This window comes from Homo sapiens, chromosome 5 (assembly GCF_000001405.40).
Source record: "Homo sapiens chromosome 5, GRCh38.p14 Primary Assembly".
In the NCBI taxonomy this organism is placed as follows: domain Eukaryota; kingdom Metazoa; phylum Chordata; class Mammalia; order Primates; family Hominidae; genus Homo; species Homo sapiens.
In genome coordinates, this window is record NC_000005.10 from 37072802 (window position 1) to 37088253 (window position 15452).

General features: G+C 41.1%; 1 protein-coding gene and 1 pseudogene across 7 annotated transcripts in view, besides 1 other annotated feature; one reads left to right on the top strand and one right to left on the bottom strand.

Moving 5' to 3' along the window:
* Positions 2868–15452, bottom strand: part of CPLANE1 (ciliogenesis and planar polarity effector complex subunit 1) — a 173708-nt gene continuing 161123 nt past the window's right edge. For all 7 annotated transcript variants that reach the window (XM_047417575.1, XM_047417572.1, XM_047417573.1 and 4 more), the window contains one exon: positions 2868–7020. In XM_047417575.1, the coding sequence (XP_047273531.1) occupies positions 7000–7020 (21 nt within the window). In that variant the 3' untranslated portion in view covers positions 2868–6999. The remainder of the gene's footprint in view (positions 7021–15452) is intronic.
* On the top strand, positions 12204–13117 carry RPS4XP6 (ribosomal protein S4X pseudogene 6; annotated as a pseudogene).
* Positions 13484–14268: an enhancer, noted in NCBI's record as "OCT4-NANOG hESC enhancer chr5:37086387-37087171 (GRCh37/hg19 assembly coordinates)". NCBI's record gives its function as "activates a minimal SCP1, AML or CMV promoter by ChIP-STARR-seq in naive H9 embryonic stem cells {active_cell/tissue: H9 hESC(naive)}" and the evidence as "EXISTENCE:reporter gene assay evidence [ECO:0000049][PMID:30033119]".

Consider the following 15452-nt stretch of genomic DNA (forward strand, 5'->3'; position numbering starts at 1 on the left):
AAATTAGCTGGGCATGGTGATATGCACCTGTGGTCCCATCTACTCAAGAAGCTGAGGTAGGAAGATCACTGGAGCCAGAGAGGTTGAGTCTGCAGCGAGCTGTGATGTGCCACTGCACTCCAGCCTGTCTCAAAAAAAAAAAAAAAATTGCTCCCACATTTTATTCCTTAGGGACATGGTGGTTGAGCTTTAAGGTATGAAGGGGAAATAGTTGAAGGGAGGGGGAAGCAAGGAGAGTGTCCCAAACAGATGACCAAGCACTTACAAAGGCCCTGGATAAAGTAGCATGTGGCCCTCAGAAGCTTCACAGTTCCTACGAATGGCGGAGAACAAATGAGAGAATGATGAAGGCAATGAAATAGGGGCTGATTCATGCTTCTGTAGGCCGTGTTAAGGATGTCCTATGAACAACAGAGCGCCATTAAAGAGATTAAGATACCTGGGGCTGGAATAGGGATTTGTATTTGTAGAATTCAATTTGTGTTTCTAAAAGATCACTGACTACGACCTATAGAATGATTGGAGCAGGGTCATAGTGTTCCATGTGAGAGATGACAATAACTTGGGCTGGGGGGTGGTAGTAGTGGAGGGAGGGTAGTGGCCTCATTTGTTTGGAAAGTTAAGTCAGTCACGTATCTTTGGTTATTATAATTTAAATTGTAATAAGGAGATAACAAGTATGAACTTCCTTAGTAAAATCAGATGAGTGAAGCCAGCCTTCCTGGGTTGCATCCACATAGGAGAAAACATGACTTACTCCTCGTTCTTCTGGAGAATGGCCCATGAGGGAACAACCATCATTTTAAGTGAAGAATCTAAATATATTACATTATCCAGAAAGGAGAAAAGTAGTCTAGGTGGATTCCTGCATAACTGTAAAAAGTCAACTGAATCTTTAACATTTTGCCATTTATAAAATTCAAAGTAATTTCAAGACAATTAATGAAGGTTTTAACTCAATAAAGTTTGTTACTTAATAGTTTGATTTTGCTAATTAAAGAAAGAATACCTTATCCCATCTCTCTCCATCTAGTCCTTTGTAGAGGCAACCACTTTAAATTCTTAGCTCTTTCTTTGGGTCATTTATATTTCTAAAGAATATACTGTTACAATTTGTTAACCCTAGACCTTACATATTGAATTATATTATGATCTGTTGACTTTTTTATGATAGGTAAGGACTTGGCTCTCATGTCCTTCCCCTCTCCTCCCAATATGGATATATTTAATGAGAATTTATATAATATAAAACAACTATGTAAATATTGTTTAATCAGAGCCAACACTTAGTGTACTATAAATACATGTTCCTGTATATGATGTTTTCTTGTGTACTTTAATTCCTTTGGAATGTTCTTTTATATCATTCGCTCTTTGGAGTCTTCCCCCACCCTCTTCCTCTATCCCAGCCCCTCCTCCCCATTAGTTTTGTATCAATGTGGATTCGTTTTCCAGGGCTGCTGCAAAGTTGTTCCAGACTTTTCCTTCCCCATTTCTGGCTGGATCCAGAGTCCATCTCTGGCATCCATACTTTTGTCCTTTTAGCTTAAAATTCTCGGTTTGCTTGAGCATATCCTGCCATAACTTCCTAAGAATAGGTGCATGGGGACAAAGTTTTCGAATTATTGGATGTCTGAAAACGTCTTTAGTCTCATGATTGATAGCCGGGTCTAGAATTCTAAGTTGAAAAGTTTCCCTTTGAAAGCTTCTCATAGTCTCCTAGCCTGTGCTGTTGCTGTTAAGTGGACTGATACAATTATGATTTTTGTTCTTTTGTATACGATCTGTGTTTCCCCTCTCTAGAAGACTTTAGGATATTTTTTGTATTTCTGGTATTCTAAAATTTCATAGCGATGTCCCTTAATGTGAATCTTTTTTAAAAAACTCATTTTGCAGCTGGGCACCATGGCTCACACCTGTTATCCTAGCCCTTTGTGAGGCTGAGGTGGGAGGATTGCTTGAAGCCAAGAGTTCAAAACCAGCCTGGACAACAAAGCAAGATCCCATCTCTATTGTTTTAATAAAATTAATAAAATTCATTTTGCAGGGTGTGTTGTAGGCTTATTTAATCTGTGTCCTTAGCTCTGGAGAATTTTCTTTACTAACTAACTTTCTCCCCTTTAGTTTATTTGTCCTCTTAAATCTGTAGATACTGTTCCTTTTAGACTAATTTTCTCAGCTATGTTTTTTGCTCTTCCCTGCCCCCTTTCCTTTTTGGCTCTGTCTTCTTTGAGAGGAGTTTTCCTACATTATCTTATCTTTTAACTCTAATATTAAATAATTCATTACAACTATATATTTTAAATTTTGAAGGTTTTTTCTTGTTCTCTGATTGCTCCCTTCATATAGCAACTTTTATTTTATGAATAAATATACCACCTTCTCATATCATCTATTTGTTAGATTAGAAAGTAGAATTTTCAGCTGGGTGTGGTGGCTCACACCCGTAATCCCAGCACTTTGGGAGGCCAAGGTGGGTGGATCATGAGGTTAGGAGATCGAGACCATCCTGGCCAACATGGTGAAACCCCGTCTCTACTAAAATACAAAAAATTGGCCGGGTGCGGTGGTGCACGCCTGTAGTCCCAGCTACTCAGGAGGCTGAGGCAGGGGAATTGCTTGAACCTGGGATGCAGAGGTTTCAGTGAGCTGAGATTGCACCACTGCACTCCAGCCTGGTGACAGAGCAAGACTCCATCTCAAAAAAGAAAGAAAGAAAGAAAGAAAGTAGAATTCTCACTTGCCATCTGGGGGCCTGAGCTCAAGTCACAGCCAACATAGCATGTGTTCAGGATTAAGTAGGCCGAGAAATCACATGCCATATTCCTTAGAGATCTGATTCAAATTATAAACTGCAGCCAGATAGATGGAGGTAACATTAACAGCTTTATTGTCAGTAGAGCCAGAATACAGAACACATTGTAACCTGGACCTGCAATCACAATCAAGCTTGCTGCCTTCTTCCCGGAATCTAGACCTTGCAATGCATCTGCTGGGTCGAGTATTTGGCAAGGCAGATACTTACTTATCTATTTAGGCAGCCTACCAAAAGAAAAATTGCTTACCCCTCACTTGTCAAGCCTCAAGTGTTGGGAAAGAATAGTGTCACATGCAATTGGTTTTTAATACAGGTATTGCACTCACTTAAGAAATGGAAACAGGCTGGGCACGGTGGCTCACACCTGCAATCCCAGCACTTTGGGAGGCTGAGATGGGAGGATTGCTTGAGCCAAGGAGTTAGAGACCAGCTGAGGCAACATAGTGAAACCCCTATCAATCACTACAAAAAAAACAAAAAACAAAAATTAGCCAGGCATGGTGGTGTTTACCTGTGGTCCCAGCTACTCAGGAGGCCAAGGCAGGAGGATCACTTGAACAAGAGGTAGAGGCTGCAGTGGGCAATGATCACACCACTGCACTCTAGCCTAGGTGACAGAGCAAGACCCTGTCTCAAAAAAAAAAAAAAGAAAAGAAAAGAGAAAATTTGGGCTGGGGGGAGCAACTGATGTCAAACTTTTTTTTTCTTTTGTTTTTGTTTTTTTGAGACAAGGTCTCACTCTGTTACCCAGGTGCAATCTCTGCTCACCGCAACCTTCGCCTCCCAGATTCAAGTGATTCTCATGCCTTAGCCTCCCGAATAGCTGGGATTACAGGCACATGCCACTACGCCTGGCTAATTTTTGTATTTTTGGTAGAGACAGGGTTTCACCATGTTGGCCAGGCTGGTCTCAAACTCCTGACCTCAAGTGATCCACTCACCTCAATCTCCCAAAGTGCTGGAATTACAGGCATGAGCCACCACACCTGGCGATGTTGAACTCTTGCCACTCACCAATCAGAAACATAAATTCTCTTTTTTCCAAAGAAATAATAACCTTATAGAAATGTGAGAATAGAGTTCCCTTTGTCATTGAGCATACCAATTAGTTTTAAAAACCATTTCTTTTATTTCTTCTTGAGTTATTTTCTCTATTATTTTGCCTATTTAATTTGGATTTTCCCTTTCATAATGATTTTCTCCATGCATCTAGGATGCCTAGTGGTCTATTTAGTTTTAGGGAAAGATGATACTAAAACATTTACTGAAGAAGCTGAGTGTGTAGGTGAAGCTCCTCTGGTAGGCTCTACTCTGGGCAGTAGCCAGCAAACTTTTTTCTGTAAAGGGCCAGAAAATATTTTAGGCTTTGCAGGCCGTAAGGTCTATGTTGCAACTTTGCAATTCTACCATAGATAATATGTAAATGAATAGACAGGATGCATTTCAATAAAACCTTATTTGTAAGAAGAGGGATTGAGCCACTTTGCAGACCTCTGCTCTAAGGCGAATCAGATGAGAAGTTGGACCCTTGCTTGGGGTATAGGTGCTAGGAATTCTTTGCAGAAGTTTGCAGAGATGAAGAGTTGCAGCCAGTCTACATATGGAATAATAAACCATGGTTGTCTCATGGTTTATTAGTGCATATGTAGAACAGCTGCATGCCCCTGTTCAAAAAGCTGGTATGCCCCTTTTTGTGCTTATCAGCTCTGAGTCTCAAGTTCACTTTTCATCACTATCCTCTTTTGCATAAATTATATCATGGCTTTCTCCACCCTGTTACGTCTGTTGCTGCTGCTTTTGTCTTCTGTCTTCTGAAAATTTGTTGAAATCTTTCATCTAGAATTGTCTCTTTTCCAATTCTCTTTGTTTGCATTGATTTATATATTTTTAAAATTTATTATCCTTTCACTTGGGTCTTAAGAGACAGACAGAATAAAAAATATTTATGAATACACTATATCAAGAAACTTGTGTGTGTGTGTGTGTCTTTTTTTTTTTTTTTTTTTTTTTTTGAGACAGGGTCTCGCTCTGTTACCCAGGCTGGGGTGAAGTGGCATGATCATGGCTCACTGCAACCTTGACCTCTCAGGCTCAAGTGATCCTCCCACCTCAGCCTCCCAAGTAGCTGGGACTACAGGCACACACCAACACACCTGGCTAATTTTTAAATTTTTTTTGTAGAGACAGGGTCTCACTATATTGCCTAAACTGATCTTGATCTCCTGGACTCAAGCGATCCTCCCACCTTGGCCTCCCAAAGTGCTGGGATTACAGGTGTAAACCGCCGTGCCCAGCAATTTTTAATTTTTTGTAGAGATGGGATCTCCCTTTGTTTGTTGCCCAAGCTGGTCTCAAACTCCTGGGCTCAAGCGATCCTCCTGCGTCAGCCTCCCAAAGTGAGATTACAGGTAGAAACCACTAAAAAACAATTTTTTATCTTCAGCTTTTAAGGGGTACATATGCAGGATGTGCAGGTTTGTTACATAGGTAAATGTGTGGTGTGGTGGTTTGCTGTACAGATCATCCCATCACCTAGATGTTAAGCCCAGCATCCATTAGCTATTCTTCCTGATTCTCTCCCTCCCCTCCTCAACAGGCCCCAGTGGCGTGTTGTTCCCCCTATGTGTCCATGTGTTCTCACCATTCAGCTCCCACTTATAAGTGAGAATATGCACTGTTTGGTTTTCCGTTCCTGCCTTAGTTTGCTAAGGATAACGGCCTCCAGCTCCATGCATATCCATGCAAATGACAAGATCTTGTTCTTTTTTATGGCTGCATAGTATTTCATGGTGTGTATATATATGTGTACAGTATTTTATTTGTCCAGTCTATGATGGACATTTGGATGGATTCCACATATTTGCTATTGTGAATAGTGCTGCAGTGAACATACGCATCCATGTATCTTTATAATAGAATGATTTATATTCCTTTGGATATATACCCAGCAATGGTATTGCTGGGTCAAATGGTATTTCTGCTTTTAGATCTTTGGGGAATTGCCACACTGTCTTCCACAATGGTTAAACTAATTTACACTCCCAGCAACAGTGTAAAGGTGTTCCTTTTCCTCCACAACCTCGGAAGCATCTGTTATTTTTTTTTTTTTTGACATTTTAATAATTGCCATTCTGACTGGTGTGAGATGGTATTTCATTGTGGTTTTGATTAGGATTTCTCTAATGATCAGTGATGTTGAGCTTCTTTTCATAGGTTTGTTGGCCATATGCATGTCTTCTTTTGAGAAGTGTCTGTTCATGTCCTTTGCCCACTTTTTAATGGGGTTTTTTCTTGTAAATTTGTTTAAGTTATTTGTAGACTCTGGATATTAGACTTTTGTCAGATGGACAGATTGCAAAAATGTTCTCCCATTCTGTAAGTTGTCTACTTGCTCTGGTGATAGTTTCTTTTGCTGTGCAGAAGCTCTTTAGTTCAATTAGATCCCAGTCGTCAATTTTTGCTTGTGTTGCAAGTGATTTTGGTATTTGCATTATAAAATCTTTGCCTGTGCCTATGTCCCAGATAGTATTGCCTAGATTTTCTTCTAGGGATTTTATAGTTTTGGGTTTTACATTTAAGTCTTTAATCCATCTGGAACTAATTTTTGTATGAAGGTGTAAGGAAAGGGTTCAGTTTCAATTTTCTGCATACGGCTAGCCAGTTCTCCCAGCACCATTGATTAAATAGGGAGTCCTTTCCCCATTGCTTGTTTTTGTCAGGTTTGTTGAAGATCAGATGGTTGTAGGTGTGCTAAATTCTTAATACTGGGGTAATATTAATTAGTTTATTTTTACTTTCACTAGCTTTGAACCTATTTAAAATGTTGTTTGTTTTTAAATTAGTATCATCTTTTTAAATCCTATGTAAAAAGTTTCCCTTCAGGTAGGCAACTCACTCCTACCACAGAAGTTGATTGCAGGCCCACATATATAGGCACAAGCTGGGTCATTCCCAATTTCCAAACCAATCTTACCTAAAAGTCTTTTTTCCTCTAAGGTGTTCCCTAGATTGAATATTTTCATGAAAACAGAAACATTAGCTTTCATCAGGGTCTCTACGTCACAAGGCCAAGTTCAGATGCTGAACACACATGAATGGTCAGTGTGTGAACAGTGTCTGAATGCAGTAGAGCTCTGGTGGGTGCCACTAGGACTTCTGCCCAATTAAGTGTTTTCCTCTTCTCAATAAGGTCCAAAGTTTTCCTACAGAAAAGCAAAGCAAGACATAAAGCATAGTACATGGTGATTATTTGAATTGTTGAGAAATGGAAAATGGTATAAGCTATAATGGCTTATCATTAGTTTATCAAATATTTACTAAATATATATTTATACTTTATAAACATTGCATCTAAAAAGCACTCATTGGATGTTTCCTCTCTATTCAGATACTTTGAGCAAAGCTGGCAGATCTTCGTGTCTTGAAGATGAGCGGATATTCAAGCTAGAGGCTAGGTACCTCCTAGGATTGTCAGCTTTCTGCTGATATAACAGAGTAACTACTACCTGACTAGCTTACCTGCCTTAACCGTAAAATTGGACAAAATATATGTAAGGCAATTTCTTTTAGACATTAGACAAAATGCAGCACAAGACAGTCACCCCCAATAGAGGGAAAGTTCCTGATGTAAGTCACATGAATGCCTGGCTGTCTGCTTAAGGACATTACCCTGACTCTAGCACAGTGAGTGGCGTCCAGGCAGACCACAGTGCTCCCACTGAGCTGAGCGGGGAGAGATCAGAGTTCTGGGCAGTCACAATGGCTGGAATCTACAAGATCAAGAGGGAAAAAGCTGTACAGAGGCTAGCTCATAATTTGGGGGTTTTTTTCCAACACTTTTTCATAATAACTCAAAGCATGGTAGATGCAGATACACTGAAATTGGGTATTAAAAGAGACACATTTTTTTCTTGTCAGGCTTGACATTATCTTGCAAAAGCCCATGTGAGAGAGTTCCCTGTGAGGTCTTTGCCAAGGGCTTATGTACAGTGCAACACTATATGCAATTTGCCAGAAAGCAGTAGCTACTAAGTTGAAAGAGAACAGAGATACTAGAAGCTAAGAAGTGCTGAAGGATGCTGGAGTCCCAGCCCAGCTAGAGTGGAGCACCAACACCTGATACTCCAGACATCCAGCTTAGACACCAGAAAGGCCCCCTGAGAATGAAGAATTGTGCCCTAGAGTAAGGCCCACAAAGCATAAAACTAAACCCATACGATGCACAGGGGGAAATTATGGAGGTTATGTTCTACTAAATTAGACTCAGAATAAACCTGGCACGCACTTACCACATATTCAAGATGATTATCTTTGAACTGCCTACATGAATAAAAACTATCAACTTTTCAGAACAAGCCAACAGAATTCACAATCTGTTACAATTCACCCACTATATAAAGAATACAGTAAAAAATTACAAGCTGGGTGTGATGGCTCATGCCTGTAATCCCAGCTACTCATGAGGATCACTCGAGGCTAAGAGTTCAAGACAAGCCTGGAAAACAGAGCTAGATCCTGTCTCATAAGTAAATAAATAAATAAATAACCACTAGACATGCAAAGAAAGGAAACTATGACCCAGAGTCCAGAGAAAAAAGTCAACAAAAACTAACCTTGAGATGCCCCAAAGACTTTAAAGCAGCTATTTTAAATATGTACAAAGAAACAAAAGTGTTTACAGAATTAAAGGAAAATGTATGGTTCTGTTTGTTTTGAGACAGAGTCTCTCTCTCTCTCTCTGTCACCCAGGCTGGAGTGCAGTGGTGCGATCTCGGCTCACTGCAACCTCCACCTCCCGAGTTCAAGTGATTCTCCTTGTTCAGCCTCCGGAGTAGCTGGGACTACAGGCACGTACCATCACACCTGGCTAATTTTTGTATTTTTAGTAGAGATGGGGTTTCACCATGTTGGCCAGGCTGGTCTCGAACTCCTGACCTCAAGTGATCCACTCACCTCAGCCTCCCAAAGCGCTGGGATTACAGGTATGAGCCACTGTGTCCGGCCTGAAAATGCGGTTTTAAGGAGAATGGAAAGACAATAGGGCAGAAAAAAAAGTTTTTTAAGAAATGGTGCCTGAAATTTTCCTGTATTTCATGAAAAACATCAACCTACAAATCCAAGAAGCTTAGGGAACTTCCACAAGAATACATCAAAAGGAACTTAAACCTACACACATCATAGTCAAACTGCTGAAAATCAAAGATAGAAAATACTCAAAATACTCAGAAGAAAGTGACATTGGCCGGGCACAGTGGCACACGCCTGTAATCCCAGCACTTTGGGAGGCTGAGGCAGGTGGATCACCTGAGGTCTGGAGTTTGCGACCAGCCTAACATGGTGAATTCCTGTCTCTACTAAATACAAAAAAATGAGCAGGGCGTGGTGAATCACTTGTACCTGGGAGGCGGAGGTTGCAGTGAGCCAAGATCGCGCCATTGCACTCCAGCCTGGGCAACAAGAGTGAAACTCCGTATCAAAAAAAAAAAAAAAGTGATATGCAATGTATTAAATGTAGAGAAATAACAGAGGTAATGGCTGACTTTCCAGTTAGAAACAATGGGAGCAAGAAGACAATGTAACAGCATTTTTCAAATACTGAAATAAAAACTTAACCTCAAATTTTACATCAAGCAAAAATACCATTCAAAAATGGATGACTACACATTCAATGCAATCTGTCAAAATTCCAATGACATTTTTCAAATAGAAAAAAATCAAAAATTTCATATGGAGTCACAAAAGACCACAAATAGCCAAGGCAAATCTAAGCAAAACAACAAAGCTGGAGGCATCACACTACCCGATCCCAAGATCCATTATAAAGCCAGAGTAATTCAAAACAATGTGATAGTGACATAAAAACATACACAAAGACCAATGGAACAAAACAGAGAGCCCAGATGTAAACCCAAGTATATAACAGTCAACTAATTTTCAACCAAGAAGACATCACTAGGAAAGGATAATCTCCTTAATAAAAAATGAAAACTTCCCAAGGACCTCTTTTCCTCTCTATCTGCCTAAAATAATTTCTTAATAACTTTTACAACATAACTATATGTTACCTATAAGAAACTTATTTCACCTATAATGACACACAGACTGAAAGTGAAGGGATGGAAAGAGAAATTCCATGTACGTGGAAACCCAAAAAAAAAAAAAAGAAAAAAGCAGGAGTAGCTATACTTAGATGAAATAGACATTAAGTCAAAAACTTTAAAAAGAAACAAAGGGTGGAGTTGTGAGATTGTGGCAGATGGGAGGTAGCACTAGACTGCAGCTCCGATCAGATGGACAGAGCAGCATGTGGAGGCTTGGATTATTAATTTTTGCTCCAGAACAACTGCAGAACTAAATCAGGAAACCCAAGGGGACCCACAGACTCTCTGAAGGAAGCAGATTACTCCTGCAGGACCCAGGAGACACCCCAAATACTGTGCTGGTATCCCTGGCTGAGAGACCCACAGACAGTTCACATCACAGGACTCTGTGCAGACAACCCCCAGTACCGGCCTGGAGCCTGGCAGACTTGCTGGGTGGCTAGATCCAGAAGAAAGATAACAATCACTTCAGCTCGGCTCTCAGGAAGCCACATCCATAGGAAAAGGGGGAGAGTACTACATCAAGAGAACACCCTGCAGGACAAAAGAATCTGAACAACAGCCTTCAGCCCTAGACCTTCCCTCTGACAGAGCCTACCCAAATGAGAAGGAATCAGAAAACCAACTCTGGTACTATGACATAACAAGGTTCATTAACACCCCCAGAAAATCACACTAGCTCACCAGCAATGGGCACAAACCAAGAAGGAATCCCTGATTTACCTGAAAAAGAATTAAGAAGTTTAGTTATTGAGCCAATCAGGGAGGCACCTGAGAAAGGCAAAGCCCAATGTAAGGAAACCAAAAAAATGATACAAGAAGTGAAGGGAGAAATATTCAATGACATAGATAGCATAAATAAAAAATAATCAAAACTGCAGGGAAACAATGGAAACACAGAAATGCAAAATGCTCTGGAAAGTCTCAACAATAAAATCGAATAAGTAGAAGAAATTAATTCAGAGCTCGAAGGCAATGTCTTCAAATTAACCCAATCCAACAAAGACAAAGAAAAAATAAGAAATGTGAACAAAGCCTCCAAGAAGTCTACAGTTAATGTTAAACGAAACCATTCACCTAAGAATAATCAGCATTCCTGAGGAAGAAAATAAATCTAAAAGTTTGGAAAACATATTTGGGGGAATAATCGAGGAAAATTTCCCTGGCCTTTCTAGAGACCTAGATATTCAAACACAAGAAGCACAAAGAACACCTGGGAAATTCATCGCAAAAAGATCATCACCTAGGCACCCTGCCATCAGGTTATCTAAATTTAAGATGAAGGAAAGAATCTTAAGAGCTGTGAGACAAAAGCACCAGGTAACCTATAAAGGAAAACCTATCAGATTAACAGCAGATTTCTCAGAAGAAATCCTGCAAGCTAGAAAGGATTGGGGCCTATTTTCAGCCTCCTCAAACAAAACAATTAGCAGCCAAGAATTCTGTATTCAGTGAAACTGAGCTTCATATATGAAGGAAAGATAGTCTTTTCCATACAAACAAATGCTGAGAGAATTCACCACTACCAAGCCACCATTACAAGAACAGCTAAAAGGAGCTGTAAATCTTGAAACAAATCCAGGAAACCCATCAAAACAGAACCTCTTTAAAGCATAAATCTCACAGGACCTATAAAACAAAATACAACTTAAAAAACAAAAACAAAAAACCAAGGCATACAAGCAACAAATAACACAATGAATGGAATGGTATCTCACATCGCAATACTAACAGTGAATGTAAATGGCCTAAATGCTCCACTTAAAAGATACAGAATGGGCCAGGTGTGGTGGCTCACACCTGTAATCCCAGCACTTTGGGAGGCCGAGTCGGGCAGATCACGAGGTCAGGAGTTTGTGAGACCAGCCTGACCAACATAATGAAACCCCGTCTCTACTAAAAATACAAAAATTAGCCAGGCGTGGTGGCAAGCGCCTGTAATCCCAGCTACTCAGGAGGCTGAAGCAGGAGAATTGCTTGAACCCAGGAGGCAGAGAGCTGAGATCATGCCATTGCACTCCAGCCCGGGCAACAGAGCGAGACTCTGTCTTTAAAAAAAGATATCTTTTTTTTTAAAAAAAAAAAGATACAAAATGGCAGAATGGGTAAGAATTCACAAACCAATCACCTGCTGCCTTCAAGAGACTCACCTAACACATAAGGACTCATATAAACTTAAGGTAAAGGGGTGGAAAAAGACATTTCATGCAAATGGACACCAAAAGTGAGAAGGAGTAGCTATTTTTATATCAGACAAAACCAACTTTAAAGCAACAGCAGTTTAGAATTCTTACACACACCGGAAGAGAGGTCGTCTTTCCTTGCCTAATGCAGCCATGGCTGGTGGTCCCAAGAAGCATCTGAAGTAGGTAGCAACTCCAAAGCATTGGATGCTGGATAAATTGACCAGTGTGTTTGCTCCTTGTCCATCCACCAGTCCTCACAAGTTGAGAGAGTGTCTCCCCCTCATCATTTTCCTAAGGAACAGACTTAAGTATGCCCTGACAGGAGATGAAGTAAAGATTTGCATGCAGGGGTTCATTAAGGTTGATGGCAAGGTACGAACTGATATAACCTACCCTGCTGGATTCATGGATGTCATCAGCATTGACAAGACGGGAGATAATTTCCATCTGATCTATGACACCAAGGGTCGCTTTGCTGTACATCGTATTACACCCGAGGAGGCTAAGTACAAATTGGGTAAAGTGAGAAAAATCTTTGTGGGCACAAAAGGAATCCCTCATCTGGTGACTCATGATGCTCACAGCATCCGCTACCTTGATCCCCTCATCAAGGTAAATGATACCATTCAGACTGATTTGGAGACTGGCAAGATTACTGTTTTCATCAAGTTCAACACTGGTACACTGGTAACCTGTGTATGGTGACTGGAGGTGCTAACCTGGGAATAACTGGTGTGATCACCAACAGAGAGAGGCACCCTGGATCTTTTGACGTGGTTCACATGAAAGATGTCAATGGCAACAGCTTTGCTACTCGACTTTCCAACATTTTTGTTATTGGCAAGGGCAACAAACCATGGATTTCTCTTCCCCGAGGAAAGGGTATCTGCCTCACTATTGCTGAAGAGAGAGACAAAAGACTGGGGGCCAAACAGAGCAGTGGGTGAAATGGTCCCTGGGTGACGTGTTAAATCTTTGTACATAATTAAAAATAATGTGGCAGGAATTAATAGGAAAAAAAAAAAGCAACAGCAGTTTAAAAGGACAAAGAGGGACATTATATAATGATAAAAGGACTTGTCCAACAGGAAAATATCACAATCCTAAACATATATGCACCTAACACTGGAGTTCCCAAATTTATAAAATAATTACTAATAGATCTAAGAAATGAGATAGACAGCAACACAATAATAGTGGGGGACTTCAATACTCCACTGACAGCACTAGACAGGTCATCAAGACAGTTAACAAAGAAACAATGGATTTAAACTATACCCTGGAACAAATGGACTTAGAGATACATACAGAACATTCCATCCAACAACCACAGAATAAACAGTCTATTCAACAGTGCATGGAACTTTCTCCAAGATAGACCATATGATTGATAGGCCACAAAACGAGCCTCAATAAATTTAAGAAAATTGAAATTATATGAAGCACTCTCTCAGACCACAGTGGAATAAAACTGGAAATCTGCAGGGGTTCAGTCAGGATGGTGGGGAAAATTATAAAATAAAACACAAACCTTCTTGGAAGGCCAAAAGGTTTTTGCAAAAGCTTCAAGATAGAGTTATGGCTGAAGGCAGCCTAATCCTCTTTGAGCTATAGCAAGGGTAATTAACAGGAATGTAGAGTAGTTTATCTAAATAGCTTGTTTACTCATGTGGTTCTAAAACTAACCTTTGATCATTTGTGGGCAGGATAACGCTCTGTGGGGAGGGGAATGGAGGAAGGCGACCAGGTTGATTACCCTCTAATGGTGTTTACTTGAGACTTTTGTCATTTAATGTGTACTGAATAAATACTGGGAGGGCCAGCGAGTCAGGGCCGGGGCTGACAGCACTCTTCTTAGAGTCTGTAAGTGGCCTGGACCTTCAAGCTGGAATGACAAGCATAATATCTGTGTCAGTGTACGTTATTCATCTGTCGTTAAGTCAGGGTCTGCAGGACAGTCCCCCACAGGTGGTGACCCCGATGTGACCAACACTGCAAAGGAAGCATGACGGACCCCTTGAAATGAAAGTGAAAAGGACCATGTGGTCAAGTGAGTAATCAGTAAGTCATTGGTGCCCGCTTGGGATCTCCAAGTTCAGGCTGAGGTTTCATCATGGGACAACAGTTATTAGCTCAACAGAAACAGTATATAAAAGTGTTGAAACAGCTGCTTAAGGCTAGTGGAGCCCGTTTCACAGGCTCAGTTAAGAGACCTAATGCAAACTGTAGTAAACCATAACACATGGTTCCCGAAAGAAGGCACGCTAGATGTAGAATGCTGGGAACAAGTGGGGAGAAATCTTGAACAGCATTATGCACAAGGGCAACAGGTCCCAGCATCATCTTTAACACTATGGGCTCTAGTAAGGACAGCTTTGGTCCCATTATACACAGAAAAGCCTAAAAAGGGGAAGGAGGAGGAAATGTCGCCTGCCTTACTGCCTCCTTTTCCCTCAGCCCCACCATCACCGGGCCAAAATAACAGAGAGGAAATGGAGGTTTTGCCTGAGCCCCCTCCTCCAATAAGTAAGAAAAAAGACAAGAAACACACTCCAGCTGTTTGTTTTTTGAGACGGAGTTTCACTCTGTTGCCCAGACTGGAGTGCAGTGGCGCGATCTCGGCTCACTGCAAGCTCCGCCTCCTGGGTTCAAACCATTCTCCTGCCTCAGCCTCCCGCGTAGCTGGGACTACAGGCGCCCACCACCACGCCCGGCTAATTTTTTGTATTTTTAGTAGAGATGGGGTTTCACCATGTTAGCCAGGATGGTCTCAATCTCCTGACCTCGTGATCCACCCGCCTCAGCCTCCAAAAGTGCTGGGATTACAGGCATGAGCCACCGCACCTGGCCACAACTTGTTTCTTTTAACCTTATAAAGAGCCAAGAAAAAGCGTTAAAGAAAATGGAGCCGCTAGCCCATTTACGAAAGGAATGATTAAGGCCTTGGCAGGCCACTTGCATATGACCCCATGGGACTAGTCAATGCTAGCTAAAACAACTTTGTAGCCTAGCCAATACCTCCTCTGGAAGGCAGAATACAATGAGTTGTACGAACAAGCCAACCAGAATCAGGTGGCCGGCCAAGACATAACAGCTGATATGCTCCAAGGGAGGGGTCCTCATGCCAATGTACAACAACTAGATTTTGATCCCCAGGCCTATGCTCAAGTGTCTTTGTGTGCTCTCAGGGCTTGGGACGGAATTCCCAAAAGTGGAGTTCAACAGGGATCTTTCGTAAATGTTTGACAAGGGCCTCAAGAGCCATTTGTTGAGTTTATCAATCGGTTAACCCAGGCAATTAAGAGACATACTAGTCACACCCAAGCTGCTGATATCTTATCGTTGCAA